This window comes from Homo sapiens, chromosome 9 (genome assembly GCF_000001405.40).
Source record: "Homo sapiens chromosome 9, GRCh38.p14 Primary Assembly".
Taxonomy (NCBI): domain Eukaryota; kingdom Metazoa; phylum Chordata; class Mammalia; order Primates; family Hominidae; genus Homo; species Homo sapiens.
In genome coordinates this window covers 94,275,626-94,298,339 of record NC_000009.12, presented here as the reverse complement: position 1 = coordinate 94,298,339, position 22,714 = coordinate 94,275,626, and the positions used below count along the sequence as shown (strand labels likewise).

Genomic DNA, 22,714 nt, shown 5'->3' with positions numbered 1-22,714 from the left:
ATCTCTGAAATTGTTTGCTGTAGTGAATAAGCAAAGCATTTGGTAAGAGAAAAATAAGGCATTTTCTTATTCATGGCTAGTTTATCTTTTTTATCTTACTTTTGTTTAAAGACTCCTGCTTTTTAACTCAGATTAGAAATTGAGTCTCCTTGAACAAATTTTTTTTTTTTTTTTTAAAGGAGTCTCGCACTGTCGCCTAGGCTGGAGTACAGTGGCACTATCTCAGCCCACTGCAACCTCCACCTCCTGGGTTCAAGCAATTCTCCCACCTCAGCCTCCTGAGTAGCTGGGATTACAGGCGCACCTACTACGCCTGGCTAATTTTTTGTATTTTTAGTAGTGACAGGGTCTCACCATGTTGGCCAGGCTGGTCTCAAACTCCTGACCTCAAGTGATTCGCCTGCCTTGGCCTCCCAAAGTGCTGGGATTACAGGCGTGAGCCACCGCGCCCAGCCCCTGGAACAAATTTTTAAGAGCATTGATCAGAAATGTACCTGGCAAGTAGCAACCCATAGCAAGAAACTGAATCAGGGTTTCAAGTGCCCTATCAGAACAGAAGTGAACAATTTAATGGAATTAAACTACTTAACAGAAGACCCTTGGTTCAAGGCAGACGATTATAAATACAATACTGATTTATATGTTATTCTATTTGTTAACTATTTTTAATCACAAAATACGTATTTCTTATTTTTGACCATACTATTCCTAAGAAAAACTCTTTGTATCATTGATTAGAGTCAGTAAGATCATATCTGCAAGAGGGAACTTCAGCAGCTTTAGGGATTGCCATTCACATTCCATCTGGAATACAGAGAAGGTCCTTCATATTAAAATATTCCAGTGGAAAAAGATGTGAGTTTTGCAAGATTACAGCATACAAAATCACTATACATAAATCCATTTTATTTCTACATACCATCAATAAACAACTGAAAATTGACACTTAAAAATAGCATCAAAATATGAAATACTTAGGGGCAAATCTGACAAGAGATATGTAAGGCCTGTATACCAGAAATGACAAAACAATGCCGACAAAAATGAAAGAAGTCTTATGTAAATGGAGAGCTATACTGTGTTCACGTACTGTAAGACACAGTATTATTTATGTGTAAGTTCTCCACAAATTGATACAGATTCAACTCGATCCCAATCAAAATCTCAGCAGGCATTTTTGTTAAAAACTGACAAGCTGATTCTAAAATTCATATGAAAAAACAAAGAATAACGAAAAGAACTTGCAAAAAAAAGCAAAGATGGAGGATTTTTTATTTTATTTTATTTTATTTTGAGATGGAGTCTCGCACTGTTGCCTGGGCTGGAGTGCAATAGTGTGATCTCGGCTCACTGCAACCTCCGCCTCCCGAGTTCACGCGATCCTCCTGCCTCAGCCTCCCGAGTAGCTGTGATTACAGGTGCGCACCACCACACTCGGCTAGTTTTTTTTGTATTTTTAGTAGAGATGGGGTTTCACTATGTTGGCCAGACTAGTCTCGAACTCCTGACCTTGTGATCCGCCTGCCTAAGCTTCCCAAAGAAGATGGAGGATTTACAGTGAGTTCAAGACCTAATAAAGCTACAGTAATCAAAACTGTGGTATTGGCATAGAGACACTAACAGAGGAGTAGAAAAAACATAGAGTCCAGGTATAGACCTATCACATATGGTCAACTGATCTTCCACAAAGATACATAGGAAATTCAGTTAAAAAAGGGTAGTGTTTTCAATAAATGGTGCTGGAAAAATTGGATATTTGTATGCCCTTCCTCCCCTAAAAAAGTACATAAATTCAGATCTTTTATCAAGTATATTTACTCAAAATAGGCTTATAGACCTAAATGTAATTAAAAATTGTAAAATTACTAAAAGAAAAAAATGAGAATCTTTTTGACCTTACTTTAGACTAAAATTTCTTAAATACACTACCAAAACTGCAATTCATAAGAGAAAAGATTGAAAACTGGACTTCATCCAAATTAAAATTTCTCTTTGAAAGGCACTATTAAGATTATAGAAAGTAAACCACAGAAAAAATGTTTGTAAATCATATATCTGATAATGGACTTCTACATAGAATATGTGAAGAACTCTCAAACTCAATAATACAAAAATAAGAAACCACATTTTTAAATGGGCAAAAGATGTGAAAACGTACTTCACTAAAGAAGATATAAGATAGCAAATAAGCACATGAAGATACTCAACATCATCAGTCATTAAGAAAATGTTAAAACCACGGTAAGATGCCACTCACTACACAGCTATAAGAATGTCTGAAATTAATAACCAAGCCAAGTTTTGACAAATATGGAACACCTGGAGCTCTCATACACTGCTGTGGGAATGTGAAATGGTGCGGCCACTTTGGAAAGCAGTTTGTGAGTTTCTTCAAAAGTTGAATATATATTGTATCCATCATCATACAACCCAGCCATTCCAGTCCCAGGTATTTATTCAACAGAAATGAAAGCATTATATTCACACAAAAACTTGCATGCTTAAAACAGCTTTATTTATATTTGTCAAAAATGAAAACCCAAATACCTTTTAATAGGTCAGTATTAAAATGTGACCTAGACATATAAAGGAATACTCAGCAATAAAAATTAATAAACTATTGATACACACATTATAGATAAAATTCAAAATACTTATGCTGAGTGAAGAATCCAGTTGTATCCTGTATAATCCAGTTATACAAATTCTAGAAAATGCAGACAAATCTATAATTATAGAAAGCTGATCAGTGGTTGCCCAGGTACAGGGGAGGACAGGAAGGAGTGGGAGGTAGGATTACAGTAAGGCGAAAGAAAATTTTCAAGGATGACAGACATGCTTGTTACTTTAGCTGTGGCAGTGCTTTCATGCATGTATACATATGCCAAAACTAACCAAATTTCACACCTATATAAGTGTAGTTTATTATACCTTAAAAAACATATCTTATAATATACCTTAATTGCTGTATCTTAATAACATTTTTATCATTATTTTACTTTATTTTTTTTTGAGACAGAGTCTCACTCTGTAGCCCAGGCTGGAGTACAGTGGTGTGATCTCAGTTCATTGCAACCTTCGCCTCCCAGGTTCAAGCGATTCTCACTCCTCAGCCATCCGAGTAGCTGGTATTTCAGGCATGCACCACCAGGCTCGGCTAATTTGTGTATTTTTAGTAGAGACGGGATTTTGCCATGTTGGCCAGGCTGGTCTCAAACTCCTGGCCTCAAGTGATCCACCCACCTCAGCCTCTCAAAGTCTGGGATTACAGGCGTGAGCCACTGTGCCCACCCCATTTTTATATAACGAAATGCTTTTAAAAAGACAAAAGCACTCAGTTGCTACATAGTGTAATACCAGCTATATAGTTACATTTAAAAGCAAAAAATAAAACAAAAATAAAATGCCAGGAAACCATGAAAATAAACAAGTAAGAAGATAAAGCAGGCAAAAATTTATTTCTATCTCCCAGCATTCATATAAAATTAATTCCAGTTAAAGACCTAAATGTTTCCATAATTTATATGGGATTTCTACAAATCAATAACAAAAAGAATAGACCCATTGAAAAGTAGGCAAACACCTTGAATGGTCAAATCACAGATGGGGAAACAGGAAGGGCCAAGCAACATATGAAAAGATGCTCATGCTCACTAGTAAGCAACTTAAAAACCCCTCTGAGATTTCACTTCCAGCTGAATAGATGGATAAAACATGAGGTCTCACAATCCCAAATGTTGGTGAGGATGTACAACAAGAATTCTCATAGACTCCTGCTGGGAGCATAAGCTGCCATGCCCACTTCAGAACACAAGTTGGCATAACTTATATAAGTTGAGGCTATGCATGCCTGTGAACCAGCTACTACACACCTAAGTATATATCTTTTTTTTTTTCTTTGTGAGATGGAGACTCGCTCTGTCACCTAGGCTGGAGTGCAGTGGCGCAATCTCAGTTCACTGCAACGTCCGCCTCCCGGATTCAAGCAATTCTCCTGCCTCAGCCTCCCAAGTAGCTAAGATTATAGGCATGCGCCACCACACCCAGCTAATTTTTCTATTTTTAGTAGAGACGGGGTTTCACCATGTTGGCCAGAATGGTCTCGAATTCCTGACCTCGTGATCCACCTGCCTCGGCCTCCCAGAGTGCTGGGATTACAGGTGTGAGCCACTGCACCTGGCCGGTATATATTTTAAGAGAAACTCTTGGACATGTTCCCAAGGAGGCATACAAGAATACAGAGCAAGATTATTTCATAGCCAAAAAGTTGGAAACAACTTAATAACATTATGTGCAGAGAAGTTTACAGACATGCAAAACAACACCCTATATGAGTGAAGAACCCATCAGATGGAATAAAAGGATAAAGACAGTCATGGAATGCTAACTCAGAAAACAGAGGCGGAGGAACGGGACACAATCAGGAAAAGTATGGGGCTATTACCTGGTTTTATAACATGCTATCTCTTAGGGTACAGGGCTGCCCCAACCCTACTCATTGTACAGTTTTTCACACCTTGCTGTAATCTTAAATAATCTATGATAAAAGAAACAAAGTTATGAGAATTTACAGGATAGAAATGATGCACAAAAAAGCTACCAGGTTAAGAATAGAAACTGGCTGGGCGTGGTGGCTCACGCCTGTAATCCCAACACTTTGGGAAGCAAAGGCAGATGGATTGCCTGAGCTCAGGAATTCAAGACCAGCCTGACCAATAAGGTGAAACCCCATCTCTACTAAAAATACAAAAAAATTTAGCTGGGCATGATGGCGGGCACCTGTAGTCCCAGCTACTCAGGAGGGTGAGGCAGGAGAAATCACTTGAACACAGGAGGCAGAGGTTGCAGTGAGCCGAGATCATGCCATTGCACTCCAGCCTGGGTGACAGAACGAGACTCTGTCTCAAAAAAAATAAAAATAAAAATAAAAAACCAGGGGCAGGGACTTAGTCTCAAAGGACAGGTACTGTTTTGAAGATCATGCCAACCACATGAGCCCAAGAATGGAGAAATCCTGAATGTGCTCGAGAAAGGAAGCCAAGTGAGGAGTGAGGCTCCCTGATGGAGGAAGGAGATGGAATGCCAGGGGTGCCCTGTCCTGGGGGGAGGCACACAGTGTGGAAGGCAGGCAGTGCCATGCAGCCTTTACCAGTGGCCTAGGAGGCCTGAAGAAGAACTTCCTCCTAGCACCTCAAAGATAGCCCCTCCTTCCTTACCTGCTGAGCTCCTCACTGCCCTGCACCCTCGCTTGCCCAGGGCTTCCCACTCACCTGGACAAAGGTCCAGAAGATGTTCGTTCTCCTCTCTCCAAGGTTCGTCGCCTTGCTCCAGCTGTTCGATGAGTTTTGGTTTGGAAAATGCAATTCCTACTCACAGGAAAAAAAAACCAAGGTGATCTTGAGTTAGTGGCTTAAGAGGCTATCTCAGAACTCAGAGCCAACCCAGGAATGCAATAAACCCAGAAGGTGGTAGGGAGGTGCAGGGGTGGAGTAAACTATGTCTGAATGCTAAGAAAGGATGCATACAGGGAGGGGATCCTAGACCTAAAGGCAGTATGTTGATTCTACCCTGTGCTTGAGTCAATAAAAATATTCCTCCTTTTGAAGGAGGATAACCTTAGAGGAGGAGCCCAGCCAGGGTAAACAGGCCTGAAAAATGCAGTGTCAGACACACCACACGCTCACAGCATGTGCACGCGCACACACACACACACACACACACACACACACACAACTGCACTGTGAAAGCCAGGCATTCTCTGGGGGAATAGGGGAAAAAACTGTTTTTCTGAGTCAGAAGCATGGCAGCTTGCTATGTAAGAGCTTAAAATACCCACAAGCAGAATCTGAAACCTTAAACAGGCCAGCCTTACCCAGGGAGACCAGATGGCTGTAGTTCTCCAGCATCACCTCCCTGTACAGGGTCCTCTGAGCAGAACTCAATAGCTTCCACTCCTTCTGGGTGAAGGCCACAGCCACATCCCGGAAGGCCATCAATGCCTGTAACACAAACACATCCCTGCTCACTCAACAGCCAGCCATGCCCACTAACCAACTTAAGCCACTAACCACAGTCAAGGCAGAAAGAAGCAGTCCTAGAGCACCCAAGTGAGATTTACAGATCCTGCTTTTAACCTGAAACCTGGTTCCATATATTCAAGACTATTAATCCCCTCCATACACTGATGCTGGTTCTATTTCTGGGCTCTCTGTTGTGCTGATCAAACACACAAGTTTGATTATCGCAGCTACATAGCAGGACTGGAAATCAGGTAAACCGATTCCTCTCACTTTATTCTTCATGTTGAAAGTTGATTTAGCTATTCTAAAATAGCCTGTGCCTGTGCCTTTCTATGCAAATTTTAGAATAATCTTGTCTATATCTCTAAAAGCCTTTGCTGAAATTTTGATAGGATTCCCATTAAACCTGTATATCAATTTGGTGAGAACTTACATCTTTACTATATTGGATCTTCAAATCCATAAACACAGTATGTCTCTCCATTTGTTTAGACCGTCTATGATTTCTTTCATCAACATTTTGTGATTTTCTGCAAACAGACCCTACACATTTTGTTAGATTTACACCTAAGAATTTCTTCAGCTTTCTTCTTTTTTTTAAGTAATTTTAATGGTACTGTATTTTAACTTCAGTGACCATATGTTCATGCTATGACATATGATACAATTGTTTGTCTGTTTTTTCTTCTATACGGCAAGCTGACTAAACTTTACTTAGCTTTAAAAGCTTTTTTTCCCTTCGTTCCTTGAGATTTTCTACATAGACAATCATGTCCTCTGCAAATAGGAACAGTTTCATTTCTTTGTTAATGATCTGTATGTCTCTTATTTCCTTTTCTTGCCTTATTGCTGTGGTTAGAACTTCCAGCGCTATGTTGAATGAGAGTGGTAAGAACAGATATAACGTTGGTTTGTTCCCAATCATGGAAGGAAAGCATTTAATCTTTCACCATTAAGAATACTGTTCTGGCCAGATGCAATGGCTCACATCTGTAATCCCAGCACTTTGAGAGGACAAGGCGGGTGGATCATGAGGTCAGGAGTTCAAGACCAGCCTGGCCAAGATGGTAAAACACCATCTCTACCAAAAATACAAAAATTAGCTGGGCATGGTGGCAAGCATCTGTAGTCCCAGCTACTTGGGAGGCTGAGGCAGAGAATTGCTTGAACCTGGGAGGCGGAGGTTGCAGTGAGCCGAGATTACACCACTACACTCCAGCCTGGGCAACAGAGCAAAACTCCATCTCAAAAAAAAAAAAAAAAAAAAAAAAAGAATACTGTTCCATAGACCAGAATCAGAGTAGATGTTTAAAAAATTTTTTTACTTAAAAATAAATTAAATAAAAAATACTGTTCCACAAACAGGATAACTACTACCAGAAAAAAGAAAAACATATTTTTGTGGGGTATGGAGAAATTGGAAACTTTCACATTGCCGATGGGAATGTAAAACAATACAGTTTCTATGAAAAACAGTTTGGCAGTTCCTCAAAAAATTAAACATATAATTAGCATCTGATCCAACAATTCCACTCCTAGGAATATACCCCCAAAAATTGAAAGTAGGGACTCAAACAGATACTTGTACACCAATGTTCATAGCAGTACTGTTCACAACAACTGGAAACAACTTGAATGTTTATCAACTGAATGAATAAAGAAAATGTGAATGAATAAAAATGAATGAATAAAGAAAATGTGGTATACACATACAATGGAGTATTTTTCAGCCTTAAAAAGGAGGGACCTTTTCTGATGGACGTTTTTAAGAGACAAGCCTTGAAAATATGCCAAGTGACATAAGCCAGTCACAAAAGGACAAATATATGATTCCACTTATGTAAGGTACCTAGAATAGGCAAATTCATACAGACAAAGTAAAACAGAGGTTACCAGGGGCTGGGGGGAGTGGGGATGGGGAGTTATTGTTTAATGGATACACAATTTCTATTTGGGATAATGAAAAAATTCTGGAAAGTGGTGATGGTTGTATAACAATGTGAATGTACTTAATGCCACTGAATTGTAAAAATATATAGTCAATTTTGTGTTATGTATTACCAAAATTTTAAAAAGAATGTTAGCTGCAGATTTTTAGAAGATTCTCCTCTGTTCCTATTGTACTGAGAGTTTGTTTTGTTTACAAATGGTTGTTGAATTCTGCTAAAGTCTTATTGCATTAACTGATAAAATCATGATTTTTCTTCTTTAGCCTATCGATATGACCAACATTACATGACTTAAATTAGAAAAAATATTTTTAACTAAAGAAATTTTTGCTTTATGTTGGTTTATGGCCCAGGATATGTCTAACTTCATCTGTGTTTCTAAAGGCACATGAAAAGAATATGCATTCTGTTCTTATTGGTTGGAATGTCTGCCATTTAAGTTTTATTTGTTTGTTCTCTGGGCTTTTTGCCTCTTTGTTTTCTTTACAAATTTCTCATGGGTTACTCAAACTTTTTTATAATTCTGTCTTGATTTGCCTACAGTGTTTCTTAGTGTATTTCACTGTATAGCTTTTTTTTTTGAGACAGAGTCTCATTCTGTCACCCAGGCTGGAGTGCAATGGCACGATCTCAGCTCACTGCATTCTCTGCCTCCCGAATGCAAGTGATTCTCCTGCCTCAGCGTCCTGAGTAGCCAGGATTGCAGGCTCCTGCCACCAAGCCCAGCTAATTTTTGTATTTTTAGTAGAGACGGGGTTTCGTCATGTTGGCCAGGCTGGTCTTGAACTCCTGACCACAGGTGATCCACCTGCCTCGGCCTCCCAAAGTGCTGGGATTACAGGCGTGAGCCACCATGCCCGGCCATTGTATAGCTTTTTAAGTGGTTGCTCTAGGTGCTACATTACATATATATAGCTTATCATAATTTGCTGGTGTCATCGTTTTACCAGCTTGCTTTTTTGTTGTTTTTATGAGGCAGGATCTCACTCTGACACCTAGGCTGGAGTGCAGCAGCATGATCATGGTTCACTATAGCCTCAATCTCCCAGTCTACAGCAATCCTTCCACCTCAGCCTCCCAAGTTGCTGGGACCACAGGTGTGCATCACCACACCTGGCTAATTTTTTTATTTTTTTAACAGATGGGGTCTTACTATGTTGCCCAGGCTGGTTTCAAACTCCTGAGCTCCAGCAATCCTCCTGCCTCAGCCTCACAAAGTGCTGGCATTACAGGATAAGCCACCACACCTGGCCATTTTACCAGTTTGAATAATTGTATAGAACTTACCTCCCATTACATCCCCTTACTCTTTCTGTTTAAAAACATAATTTTCCTAAGCATTTCCTCTATATACATTCAAATCCACATCAGACCATACGATAATCTTTGCTTCAGCCATCAACAAGTTTAGGAAATTCATGAAGAATAGCAATGCCTACATTTACCCTGTATGTCTTCCTTACCATGTTCTTCTTTTCTTCCTGATTGTTTCAGGGGACCCTGCTATAAAGAACTACCTGAGACTGGGTAATTTATGAAAAAAAAAGGTTCAATTGACTCACAGTTCCACAGGCTGTACAGGAAGCATGGATGGGAGGCCTCAGGAAACTTACAATCATGGTGGAAGGATGAAGGGGAAGCAAGCAAATCTTCACATTGTGGCAGGAGAAAAAGTGAGCAAGAGGGAAGTGCTACATACTTTTAAACTATCAGATCTCGTGAGAACTCAGGATCACAAAAATAGCATGAGGGAAACCTGCCTCTGCACCAGAGCCCCTGTCATAGCTGCCTCTGAGCCTGTTGCCGCCACCTCTGAGAAGATGGCTGTGCTACTCACATATGAGATCCTGTCAAATCTGCCAGGGATGTCTTCACCAATGGCTATGGATTTGGCTTAATAAAGCTTGATTTGAAAACAAAAGAGAAGAATGGATTGGAATTTACAAGCTCAGGCTCAGCCAACACTGAGAATACCAAAGTGACGGGCAGTCTGGAAACCAAGTACAGATGGACTGAATATGGCCTGGCATTTACAGAGAAATAGAACACCGACAACACACCAGGCACTGAGGTTACTGTGGAAGATCAGCTTGCACGTGAACTGAAGCTGACCTTCAATTCGTCCTTCTCACCTAACACTGGGGGAAAAAAATGCTAAAATCAAGACAGGGTACAAGTAGGAGCACATTAACCTGGGCTGAGACATGGATTTTGACATTGCTGGGCCCTCATTCCAGGGTGCTCTGGTGCTGGGTTATGAGGGCTGGCTGGCTAGCTACCAGATGAATTTTGAGAATGCAAAGTCCCGAGTGACCTAGAGCAACAGTGTAGTTGGCTACAAGACTGATGAATTCCAGTTTCACACTAAAGTGAATGATGGGACAGAGTTTGGCAGCTCCATTTACTAGAAGGTGAACAAGAAGTTGGAGACTGCTGTCAATCTCGCCTGGACAGCAGGAAACAGTAACACTAGCTTCGGAATAGCAGCCAAGTATCAGATCGACCCTGACGCCTACTTCTCGGCTAAAATGAACAACTCCAGCCTGAGAGGTTTAGGATACAATCAAACCCTAAAGCCAGGTATCAAACTGACACTGTCAGCTCTCCTGGATGGCAAGAACGTCAATGCTGGTGGCCACAAGCTTGGTTGAGGACTAGAATTTCAAGCATAAATGAACACCGTATTGTTTAATTTTAAACTATTTTTGGCCGGGCACAGTGGCTCATGCCTGTAATCCCAGCACTTTGGGAGGCTGAGGCAGGCGGATCACGAGGTCAGGAGATCAAGACCATCCTGGCTAACACAATGAAACCCTGTCTCTACTAAAAATACAAAAAGTTAGCCAGGTGTGGTGGCGGGCGCCTGTAGTCCCAGCTAACCGGGGGCTGAGGCAGGAGAATCACTTGAACCTGGGAGGTGGAGGTTGCAGTGAGCAGAGATTGCGCCACTGCACTCCAGCCTGGGTGACAGAGCGAGACTCCGTTTCAAAACAAACAAACAAACAAACAAACAATTTTGCAGTATAGCAACCTTCAGAATTTAGTGTATCTTTTAATGTTGTATGTCTGGGATGCAAGTATTGCTAAATATCATGTTAGACCCCCAAGTTAAAGATGATTCAGCTTTAAGATGTTACCCTTTCAGGGGTACAGAAGAAACCCAATTCCAAAAAAGGTTCTTTCAGTGGTAGACTTGGAGGGAACATGGTGGCCCTTCTGAGATGCCAAGTTTCTTTTTTATCTAGAAATGGCTGTAAGTGGAAGCTGATAATATGTAGATACTTTGTAAATTCATATTGAGTAAATGAATGAAATTGTGATTTCCTGAGAATGGAACCTTGGTTTCCTAACCCTAATTGATGAGAGGCTCATTGCTTGATTGTGTGTACAAACTCACCTGAAAGGGACTTTTTTAGACAGAGCTTCATGACCTGTTCCCACCCCAGTTCATCCTCACCTCTTTTACGCCAAAAGGTCTGCAGGGTGGGTTCACTGTGTCTTTTCTGCCATTTTGGGGTGGAGAGGGTAATGTGATGAAGCCAATAATTCAGGACTTACTCCTTTTTGTGTTGTGTTTCTTTGCCCTTGCACGAGAGTATGAAATAGCTTCCAGGAGCTCCAGCTGTAAGCTTGGAAGAGTCTGTATGATTGTAATCACATGATGACAACACTCAGAATCTAAACTGGACTTCTGTCATATTCTCACCACTCAATTTGTTTTTTAGCAGTTTAATGGGTACATTTTAGCGTCTTGCATTTTGTGTGGAATTAATTCCTCCCCTTCAAATGCTGTAGTTAATATCAGTTAAAAAAAACTTGAATAAAATATTGAAACCTCAAAAATCCACCGCCCTGATCCAATCACTTCCCACCAGGACCCTCCCCCAATATTGAGAATTAAAATTTAACCTGAGATTTGAGTGAGGACACAGAGCCAAACTGCATCAGACTCCAGTACCACTCCCAAGTATGATGATTCACTAGAAGGACTCATAAACCTCATCATATAGTTATACGCATGGCTATGATTATTATAGTGAAAGGATGCAAAACAAAATCAGTAAAGGGAAATGGTTTGAGAGACAAGTCTGGAGGAAACCAGACACAAAATTCCAAGAATTCTTTCTCAACAGTCACACATGACTCTGTAATTCTTCAGTAATAATTTGCGATATGTTAAATGTTGTCTATCAGAGAAACCTATTAGAAACTCAGTGCCCGAAGTCTTAATGGGGCTAGTCAACAGACATCCTCTGCCTAGCACACACTAAAAGCCCAGATCTCATAAAGAAAGCAAGTGTCCAGCATAAACCATATTGTTTATGCACTTTAGGCACAGTAAGCTATACTTTTTTTTTTGAGATGGAGTTTCGCTCTTGTTGCCCAGGCTGGAGTGCAATGGTGTGATCTCGGCTCACTGCAACCTCCGCCTCCTGGGTTCAAGCGATTCTCCTACCTCAGCCTCCTGAGCAGCTGGGATTACAGGCATGCACCACCACATCCAGCTAATTTTTTTGTATTTTTAGTAGAGACGACGTTCTCCATGTTGGTCAGGCTGGTCTCGAACGCCCGACCTCAGGTGACCCGCCCACTTCAGCCTCCCAAAGTGCTGGGATTACAGGCGTGAGCTACCGTGCCTGGCCAATTCTTATCAGTTCTGTGAGAAATCCATTGGCATTCTAATTGTTTTCCCCTATAAGTAACATAATTTTTATCTGGCTGCTTTCGGGATGATTTTTTCATCTTTAGTCTTCAGAAGTGTACTTATAATGTATTCTGACATAGACTTATTGGGTTCATCATGTTTCAAATTTACTCAGTGAGCTTTTAAAATCTGTAGGTTTGTTACCTGCCAAATTTGTGACATTTTCAGCCATTATTTCTTGAAGTACTTTTTCAGCCCTTCCCTCCTTTGTTTCCCCTTCCAACCTCCAAAGATATAAATATTATATCTTTTGTTGTACTCCCACAATTCTTGAGGCTCTATTCATTTTTCTTTCCACTCCATTTTCTCTCTGTTCTATCTTCTAGTTCACTCATTTCTTTGTTACCGCTAATATACTGGTAAGTCTATCCCGTAGCTTTTTATTTCAGTTCTAAAATTTCCATATACTTATTCTTAAAACCTTTTATTTCCTTGCTGAGGCATTCTAATTCTTTCATTTATCTCAAGCGTGTTCTTTTGGCTGTGGATATCCAGTTTTCCAAGTATCATTTGTATACACTGCCCTTTTCTGATGGAAGGATCTCGACATCCACCCTTGTAAAAAAATCAATTGACCATATATGTGAGATTTTTTTTCAGGACTGCCAATTCTATTCCACTGATCTACATGTATCCATCCTTATGCCAGTATGACACTATTTTGATTATGATAGCTTTGCAGTAAGTATTAAACTCAGGCAGTGTGAGTCCTCCAACTTTGTTTTCTTTTTCAAGATTGTTTTGGCTATTCAGGGTACCATGAGATTCCATATAAATATCAGTATGAGTCTATTTCTGAAAAAAAAACACCATTGGAATTCTGATTGAACTAAATCTATAGATCATTTTGGGTAGTACTGCCATCTTAACAATATTAAATCTTCTAATTCATTCCAAGCATGGAAAGTCTTTCCATTTATTTAGGTCTTCTGTAATTTCTTTCAGCAATATTTTGCAGTTTTCTTTATCTTTTACATCCTCGGTTAAATTTATCACTAAGTATTTTATTCTTTTTGATGCTGTTATAATTTTTTTAAATTTCCTGTTCAGATAGTTCATTGCAAATGTACAGAAATACAACAGATTTTTGTGTGTTTACTTTGTATCCTGCAACTTTGGTTAATTCATTAGCTCTAACAATTTTCTCTGTGGATGACTTAGTCCATTCCTGCTGTTATAAAAAAATTGCTACCTGGTGCAAGCTAGTTTCTTCTAACTATTTTATTTTATTTTTATTTTTTGAGATGGAGTCTCACTCTGTTGCCCAGGTTGGAGTGCAGTGGCACGATCTCATCTCACTGCAACCTGAGCTTCCCAGGTTCAAGCGATTCTCCTGCCTCAGCCTCCTGAGTAGCTGGGATTACAGGCACGTGCCACCACGCCCGGCTAATTTTTGTATTTTTAGTAGAGATGGGGTTCCTCCACGTTGGCCAGGCTGGTCTTGAACTCCTTACCTCAAGTGATCCACCTGCCTTGGCCTCCCAAAGTGCTGGGGTTACAGGTATGAGCCACTGCGCCCGACCCTTGGGAGGATTTTTATTACTAATTCAATATACTTACTAGTTATAGTCCTTTTTTTTTTTTTTTTTTTTTTGAGACAGAGTCTTGCTCTGTTGCCCAGGCTGGAGTGCAGTAGTGCAATCTCGGCTCACTGCAACCTCCATCTACTGGGTTCAAGCAATTCTCCTGCCTCAGCCTCCCAGGTAGATGGGATTACAGGTGCCTGCCACCATGCCCGGCTAATTTTTTTTGTATTTTTAGTAGAGATGGGGTTTCAGCCTATTGGTCAGGCTGGTCTCAAACTCCTGACCTCAGGTGATCCACCAGTCTCAGCCTCCCAAAGTGCTGGGATTACAGGTGTGAGCCACCGCACCCGGCCTCATATTATACTTTTTAAAATAAGTTTTCTATACTGATATTCTCTGTTGAAAATTGTTGACTTCATTTCCTTTAGTTCCATGTCCATGGTTTCCTTGGTTCTTTGTGCTTATTAAGAAAGTTGACTTAAAGTCTTTGTGCCTGGGCTTCCTCATGGACAGGTGGGAGGCAGGCAACTTAATGGTAGCCAGGCAGTCTGAAATGCTATAGTACTCTCTCACCACTAAGCAGCAGCTTATTTCTTCACCAAGTCTTCCAGTTTTGACAAGATTCCAGAATTTTACGAAAGTTGATTCTGACAGTTTTTGCCAGCTCATTAGTTGCTTTTGGGGAAGGACAGAGGCCTGGATTTCCCTACTATTTATTTATTTATTTATTTAGAGATGGAGTCTTGCTTTGTCGCCCAGGCTGGAGTACAGTGGCGTGATCTCAGCTCATTGCAACCTCCATCTCCCAGATTCAAGCAATTCTCCTGCCTCAGCCTTCCGAGTAGCTGGGACTACAGGCGCATGCCACATGCCCAGCTAATTTTTGTGTTTTTAGTAGAGACAGAGTTTCACCGTGTTAGCCAGGATGGTCTCGATCTCCTGACCTCATGATCCGCCCGCCTCAGCCTCCCAAAGTGCTGGGATTACAGGCATGAGCCAACACACCCGGCCCCTACTCTGTAATTTTTTCTGATACATGTTTCGTTTTTGTTAAATTACATGATCTCATGTATATAAAATATCCAGAAGAGGTAAATCCATAGGACAAAAACGCAGATCAGTGGTTGCCAGGGGCTGGGAGAGGGGCGAATGGGGAATAACTCCTAATGGGTATGAGGTTTCTTTTAGCAGTGATGAAAACATGATGGTGAAGGTCACTCAATAATAAAATCTTCTGAATAGTACATTTTAAATGTTGGATTGTATGGTATGTGAATTATACCTCAACCAAAAAATTTTTTTTAAGTTTTAATTCCAATGAGGAGTGAACCCCTAAATAAACCAGGAATCTTACACAAATTGATGCTATGCTGTAGGTATCATTATTCCTAAACCAACAAAGTCTCCTGTACACAACAAATATTTTTAAAAATTTTAAGATTCAATGAAGGGGTTATGAAAGGAAAATAAATCTTGGGGCGCCCAAATCACTAAGCTAAAGGGAAAAGTCAAGCTGGGAACTGCTTAGGGCCAACCTGCCTCCCATTCTATTCAAAGTCACCTCTCTGCTCACTGACATAGATGCATATCTGTTTGCCTCCTTTGGAGAGGCTAATCAGAAACTCAAAAGAATGTAACTGTCCCTCTCACGTATCTGTAACCTGGAACCCCTCTTGTTCAAGTCATCCCCGCCTTGCTTCAAGTTGTTCCGCCTTTCCAGACCGAACCAATATACTGCTTACATACATTGATTGACGTCGTCGCATGTCTCCCTAAAATGTATAAAACTAAGATGTATCCCAACTGCCTCGGGCACATGTTGTCAGGACTTCCTGAGGCTGCCATGGGCACATCCTGAGGACTAAGCTCTGATTTTTTTTATCTTGCCCAAATTCCTATCTAAGGGGTCTGGGAAGTCATGCCCTACAAACCATAAATTCTCATCAGATGGGTTTTATTTAACCCTATATATCGTGGCTTACTTTCCAATCTGACTCTGGCATAACATTATGAGACAAGGAAGAAAATAAAAATATTTAACCTCAAAATATATTTCCTTGCCATACCTTAAAATTGCTCTGCAAAGTCTCTTGTGGGAAAAATCCACATTCTATAGAGAATCCCCTTCCCCTTTGTTTTCCTTCCTTCCTTCCTTCCCAGATCCAGGAGATCATCAACTAAGAGCCAGGCACCCTTTTAGGTCCCATAAGAAACATTTTACAACCTGCTTTCTCTCTGAAGTCTGCTATCTGAGAGCTTCTTCTGCACAATAAAACTTGGTCTCCACAATCCTTTATCTTAACCTGAACTCTTCTTTCTATTGATTCCAGGTCTTCAGACAAACTCAACCGTCAACCAGAAAATGTTTAAATTTACCTATAGCCTCGGAGCCCCTGCTTTGAGTTGTCCCGCCTTTCTGAACCAAACCAATGTATTTCTTAAGTGTATTTGATTGACGTCTCATGCCTCCCCAAAATATATAAAACTAAGCTGTACACTGACCACGTTGGGCACATGTTCTCATGACCTCCAGAGAGCTGTGTCATGGGCCATGGTCACTCATATTTGGCTCAGAATAAAACTCTAAAAATATTTTACAGAGTTAGACTCTTTTCGTTGACAATCCTCAACCTTGGCAAAATAAACTTTCTAAATTAACTGAGACCTGTCTCAGGTTTTCTGGGTTCACAGGGTGCTAACTAGTTTCTTATTAGCTAACATATTGTGCTTACCAGCTCCCTTTCTATGTTACAACTATAATGCATGTTACAATTCTCCTCTCAGGCAAAAGCCCTTAGGAAAAATGCCTAAATGTCATGTTGCATAAAGGTCAGGTTTTTCTACATAATTCAGATCTGATGCATAACAAAGTACCAGGAAATGCAATTTTAAAAGTAATAAAATACACAATTTCAATGCTTCAAATAACATGCATCATAACAAACAAACCTCTTTCCCTTTATGCAACAAGTGGTTTTTGACTAAGAGACACTATTCTAGATATGGAAGCTTTGTTTTAAAATGCTAAGCCTCTTAGATGCTTATATCTTTTCATCAATTTTTCACAGATGTTAGATATAGTGAACTCCAAGATTCTCTTCAAAGAATCAGTATGTCAGTATGTTCAGCTCTCTTATTCTTTGATTCTCCATTTTAAAGTTTAACTTCCTGGTTCTCTTCGCCCCCTTGCCTCTAGTTTCAGTAAACAACTTTCCCGCCAGTTCTACTCAGTAGTTCACATCTGTTCCCCTTGTCACCTGCTTTGACCTGAGTCACCCCTGGTCACCTGCTCTGGCCTGAATCATCCTGAGTAACCGCCCTTCCGTCAAACTACCCACCCCACCACTCTGGCTGGTACCCCCGCTCTCTTTAAAATAGCCAACTGGAATTAGCTTAGACTGTGCGGTCCAACCCTAGCCAACAGGGGAATGACACAGCAGTGAGGCTACCTGCGTCAGGAATAAGAACCCCTTCCCCTCCCTTGCCCAGGTGTGCTCTCACCATTACTCCATTCGCGAGTTGCACCATTCTATAGAAGTAAAAATTGCCTTGCTGAGAAAATTAAATTTATGTTTGAATGCTGTTTCTTTGCAGCACTGAGGAACAAGCATTTTGTTTCTAACACAAAGAAATGGCTAAAACAAACAAACAAAAATGTATATTGAGAGAAGTTGGTCACAGACAGAATAAGGTTTAGGGCCTGCTAAAGATTCCACAGGAAGTGGAAGAGTAAGGACAGAAAACATAAGCCAATATTCCATGTTTTGCTAGAATGCTTCTCTGTTAACATACATAGTAAAGTGCAACACACGGAAGAAAAAAGTCTCCTGCTACCTTGGAAAAAAATCCTGAACTGCCTGTGCTACATACACATTTTCTCTCAAAGATGTTACAGATTTCTCTCAAAGGTGTAACAAATAAGGGACTCACAGCTCTCAGTGACGTTCTCATAAGATCAAAACCATTTTTAATTTATCCAGAAATATGCAAATATCCACCATGAGCCCCAGAATATGATTACATACAGATCTCTCATTCTACACTTGACATATTTATAGCACAAAGCAAAACTGAATTAGCAAAAATGACAATAAATATTTTGTGTAATTGATAAAATCAATACAAAAATGCCCTGCCTGGCAGCTATTTATGTTGTCAGTAAGTGTTAATTCCATTCAGCTACATCAAGTTCACATGCTGCCTAGCTGGTGGAGAATAATCTATTTTCAGAGAAGTAGGCAATCTGGACCTTTAAGCATAATCTTCCAATTTTTAAGTACAGAAAACTCACTTTATAAAGTATGGGCCTGCAAAACTAAATCTATCCATGCACCACACAGAAATAGCAGGTTAGAGCCCTCACCTATACACAGAAAACTAATGTGGCTAAAGACCACTGGCTGTTGAAAGCTTCCCACACGGTGAGGGATAGCCTGCCAGTCATCTCATCCCTGAAAAGGGATAGGATTCTTGCCCCATTTTCTTTCCTTTTTTTTTTTTGAGACAGAGTCTTGCTCAGTCACCCAGGCTGGAGTGCAATGGCGCAATCTCGGCTCACTGCAACCTCCGCCTCCCGGGCTCAAGCGATTCTCTTGCCTCAGCCTCCCCAGTATCTGGGATTACAGGCACGCGCCACTGTCCTGCGCCATTTTCACAGCAGTCTCTTCCCCTAACTCTTCAGCTTGCCAAACCCTTCAGGGGCAAATCAGACAATTTCTCTTTTGAGAGCCTTCTTATACTTTTTTTTTTGAGATGGAGTCTCACTCTATCGCCCAGGCTGGAGTGCAGTGGCGCGATCTCAGCTCACTGCAACCTCAGCCTCCTGGGTTCAAGTGATTCTCCTGCCTCAGCCTCCCTAGTAGCTGGGATTACAGGCGCCCACCACCACGCCCAGCTAATTTTGTACTTTTAGTAGAGATGGGGTTTTACCATGTTGGCCAGGCTGCCCTCGAACTCCTGACCTCAGGTGATCCTCCCGCCTCGGCCTCCCAAAGTACTGGGATTACAGGTGTGAGCCACTATACTTTTGTAGGCCTTCGGAGTCACTGGGCACATAAGCATGGATGTCCTGTATTTTTATTTTAACTGCCCAGGATGTGATGGTCACAGTTAACTACTTGGTAAATAACTGAGTCATAAATGTAGCAAATAAGACTGAGAGAAAACTCCAGATAAGATGAGTCACGCCTACAAGATCAAGATAGGCTTTGCCTAACACCAAGAAGGCAGCCTTCAGGACAAGAAAAGATTATGAAACCTTCCTGCAATAGCTAGGAAGAAATTTCAGGACTTACCTCCTTCCTGGTTGTCAGGAGTCCTGGTGACATATCCCTGCTCTCTGGAGTACTCTTCCTAGAGGAGAGTCAAGTTGCAGAGGCAAATCTGGGGAAAGAGATGAGAAGTGAGAGAGGTACTTGGGAAGAACACCCTTCACACTCTGTCCAGCCTCCCAATTCAGTAGGGAGTAGAGGAACAGGGAAGCAACAAAGACAGGTTGCAGAGGGCATCGGTGAAGCCCATTCTTAGCCAGTGTCTCATAAAAAAAGCCCACAGAGCTGGGCCAGCAACAGGCTTACATCCAAACTCTAGTTAGGGAATGAAGCCCCCATCTTCCAGCAGCTGGGTGAGACTTTGTGTGGACTCCATTAAAAGAAAAAGGCCTCAGAGTGCCCTCAAGTGAGCATTCATGTTAAAAAATAAAATGCCTCATCATACTGAAAACAAAAGCATCCCATCCATATTTACTGTGAGGCCAAAGGACAGGTTCCAGGAAGTCCAAAGCAGAAGTTCCTGGTTTTGAGGGAGACATGAAGCAGGGTGGAGGCCATAACCTGAGTTTCCTTCTATGTGACTCTGGCTGCACCCTTCCCTCCACTCACATATCAAAAATTAGGTCCCAAAATTTGAAATGTGACTTGGAATTTAGGAACAGGCAGTCAGTAACTGACCTAGTTTTATAACGAGTCAATTTCATAAAGAGATTTTTAAGAAGCGAGAAGTAGGGGTAGATTTTTTCTTAATGAAAATATTTCTTAAGAGATAAATCATACTTCAGATGACAAGTATAGGTCTTGACTGGATCCTGTCTTGCACAAATGAATGAGAAAAGCAGACTACAAGAGACAATTCAATATGTGATGAGAATTATTGTTAATGGTGTTAGGTTTTGAGAACAAAGCTCTGATTTTTCTTTTTTCTTTTTTTTTTTGAGTCGGAGTCTCGCTCTGTGGCCCAGGCGGGAGTGCAGTGGCGCAATCTCGGCTCACTGCAAGCTCCGCCTCCCGGGTTCACGCCATTCTCCTGCCTCAGCCTCCCGAGTAGCTGGGACTACAGGCGCCCGCCATCACGCCCGGCTAATTTTTTTGTATTTTTAGTAGAGACGGGGTTTCACTGTGTTAGCCAGGATGGTCTCGATCTCCTGACCTCGTGATCCGCCCGCCTCGGCCTCCCAAAGTGCTGGGATTACAAGCGTGAGCCACCGTGCCCGGCCCTGATTTTTCTAAATCTTGCCAAAATTCCTATCTAAGGGGCCTGGGGAGTCGTGCCCTACAAACCATAAATTCTCATCAGATGTGTTTTATTTAACCCTGTATATCATGACTTACTTTCCAATCTGACTCTGGCATAACAAGGAAGAAAATCAAAATGTATTACCCCAAAGTATATTTACTTGCCATACCTTGAAATTGCCCTACAAAGTCTCTTGTGGGAAAAATCCATATTCTATAGAGAATCCCCTTTCCCCTTTGTTTTCCTTCCTTCCTTCCCAGATACAAGAGATATAATCAACTAAGAGCCAGGCAGCCTTTTAAGTCTGATAAGAAATATTTTACAACCTGCTCTCTCTGAAGTCTGCTATCTGAGAGCTTCCTCTGCACAATAAAACTTGGTCTCCACAATCCTTTATCTTAACCTGAACATTTCCTTTCTGTTGATCCCAGGTCTTCAGATAAACTCAACCAATTGTCAACCGTCAACCAGAAAATGTTTAAATTTACCTATAGCCTGGAATCCGCCCCCCTACTTTGAGTTGTCCCGTCTTTCTGAACCAAACCAACGTATTTCTTAAATGTATTTATGTTTCATACTTCCCTAAAATATATAAAACCAAGCTGTACACCGATCACCTTGGGTACATGTTCTCAGGACCTCCTGAGGGCTGTGTCACGGGCCATGGTCACTCATATTTGGCTCACAATAAATCTCTGAAAATATTTTACGGAGCTTGACTCTTTTTGTCAACAGTGTGATCATGATATTCTGGATATGGAGGAAACAGTCATTAAGAAATGATACAAACGTTCTGTGGTGTGAACTAACATGTTTGCAACTTTTTAAAAATGCAACACTTTCAACAAATGGATAGCACTAAAAACACAGTAGAAAAAATACAATAAAAAGAGCTCTTATAGATCTTATAGAATAAAAAGAGAATTAAAGAGACACCAATCGGCCTGGTGCGATGGATCACGCCTATAATCCCAGCACTTTGGGAGGCCAAGGATGGATGACGAGGTCAGGAGTTCAAGACAACCCTGGCCAAGATGGTGAAACCCTGTTTCTACTAAAAATACAAAAATTGGCCAGGCACAGTGGCTCACGTCTGTAATCCTAGCACTTTGGGAGGCCGAGGTGGGTGAATCATGAGGTCAGGTGTTCAAGCCTGGTCAACATGGTGGAACCCCATCTCTACTAAAAATACAAAAAATTTGCTGGGTGTGGTGGCGGCGCCCATAATCCCAGCTACTCCGGAGGCTGAGGCAGGAGAATCACTTGAACCTGGGAGGTGGAGGTTGCAGTAAGCCGAAATCACGCCATTGCACTCTAGCCTGGGCAACAGAGCAAGACTCTGTCTCAAAGAACAAAAAAAAGAGACCCCAATCAACTGTAATGTGTGAACCTTGTTTAGACATTTTTGAGGCAATTGAGGAAACCTGCACATGATTAGATATTAGACAACATTTAAAAAATCAGTATAAATTGTATTAAGTTTAGGTTAAAAATGGTCTAACCGATGTTCTCTGCAAATAATTGTGGCTATACTTAAATGAAAAGAGAGTGCAGGCCAGGTGTGGTGGCTCACGCCTGTAATCCCAGCACTTTGAGAGGTGGCTGAGGCGGGTGTATCACTTGAGGTCAGGAGTTCGAGGCCAGCCTGGCCAACATGGTGAAACCCTGTCTCTACTAAAAATATAAAAACTAGCCGGGCATGGTAGCAGGCGCCCAGCTACTTGGGAGGCTGAGGCAGGAGAATCACTTGAACCTGGGAAGTAGAGGTTGTAGTGAGCTGAGATAGCACCACTGCACTCCAGCCTGGGTGACAGTGAGACTGTCTCAAAAAAAAAAAAAAAAACAGATAGTGCAGAGCCTACAGCTGACATCATATTTAATGGTGAGAAACTAGATGCTTTCCCCCTAAGATCAGGAACAAGGCAAGGATGCCCCCACGACTCCTATTTTACATCACTGATAAGATAATGAAAAGACAACCCACGGACTGAGAGAAAATACAGG

At 41.2% G+C, this 22,714-nt stretch overlaps 1 protein-coding gene and 1 pseudogene across 5 annotated transcripts in view, besides 1 other annotated feature; one reads left to right on the top strand and one right to left on the bottom strand.

Moving 5' to 3' along the window:
* The window catches only part of ZNF169 (zinc finger protein 169), a 42,532-nt gene that overhangs the window by 3,490 nt on the left and 16,328 nt on the right, over nucleotides 1-22,714 (bottom strand). For 4 of the 5 annotated variants that reach the window (NM_001301275.2, NM_003448.3, NM_194320.4 and 1 more), the window contains exons 2-4: nucleotides 19,495-19,582; nucleotides 5,873-5,999; nucleotides 5,271-5,366 (exon numbers count right to left, since the gene is read on the bottom strand). Coding sequence is in view for 4 of the 5 variants with exons in the window: in NM_003448.3 (NP_003439.2) it covers nucleotides 5,271-5,366; nucleotides 5,873-5,999; nucleotides 19,495-19,527 (256 nt within the window). In the remaining variant the exon portion in view is untranslated. Of the gene's footprint in view, nucleotides 1-5,270; nucleotides 5,367-5,872; nucleotides 6,000-11,527; nucleotides 11,610-19,494; nucleotides 19,584-22,714 lie in introns of those variants that run through there. The other variant, XM_017014364.2, reaches the window with a different exon arrangement.
* On the top strand, nucleotides 9,785-11,808 carry VDAC1P11 (voltage dependent anion channel 1 pseudogene 11; annotated as a pseudogene).
* Nucleotides 15,553-16,054: an enhancer, noted in NCBI's record as "NANOG hESC enhancer chr9:97044568-97045069 (GRCh37/hg19 assembly coordinates)". NCBI's record gives its function as "activates a minimal SCP1, AML or CMV promoter by ChIP-STARR-seq in primed H9 embryonic stem cells {active_cell/tissue: H9 hESC(primed)}" and the evidence as "EXISTENCE:reporter gene assay evidence [ECO:0000049][PMID:30033119]".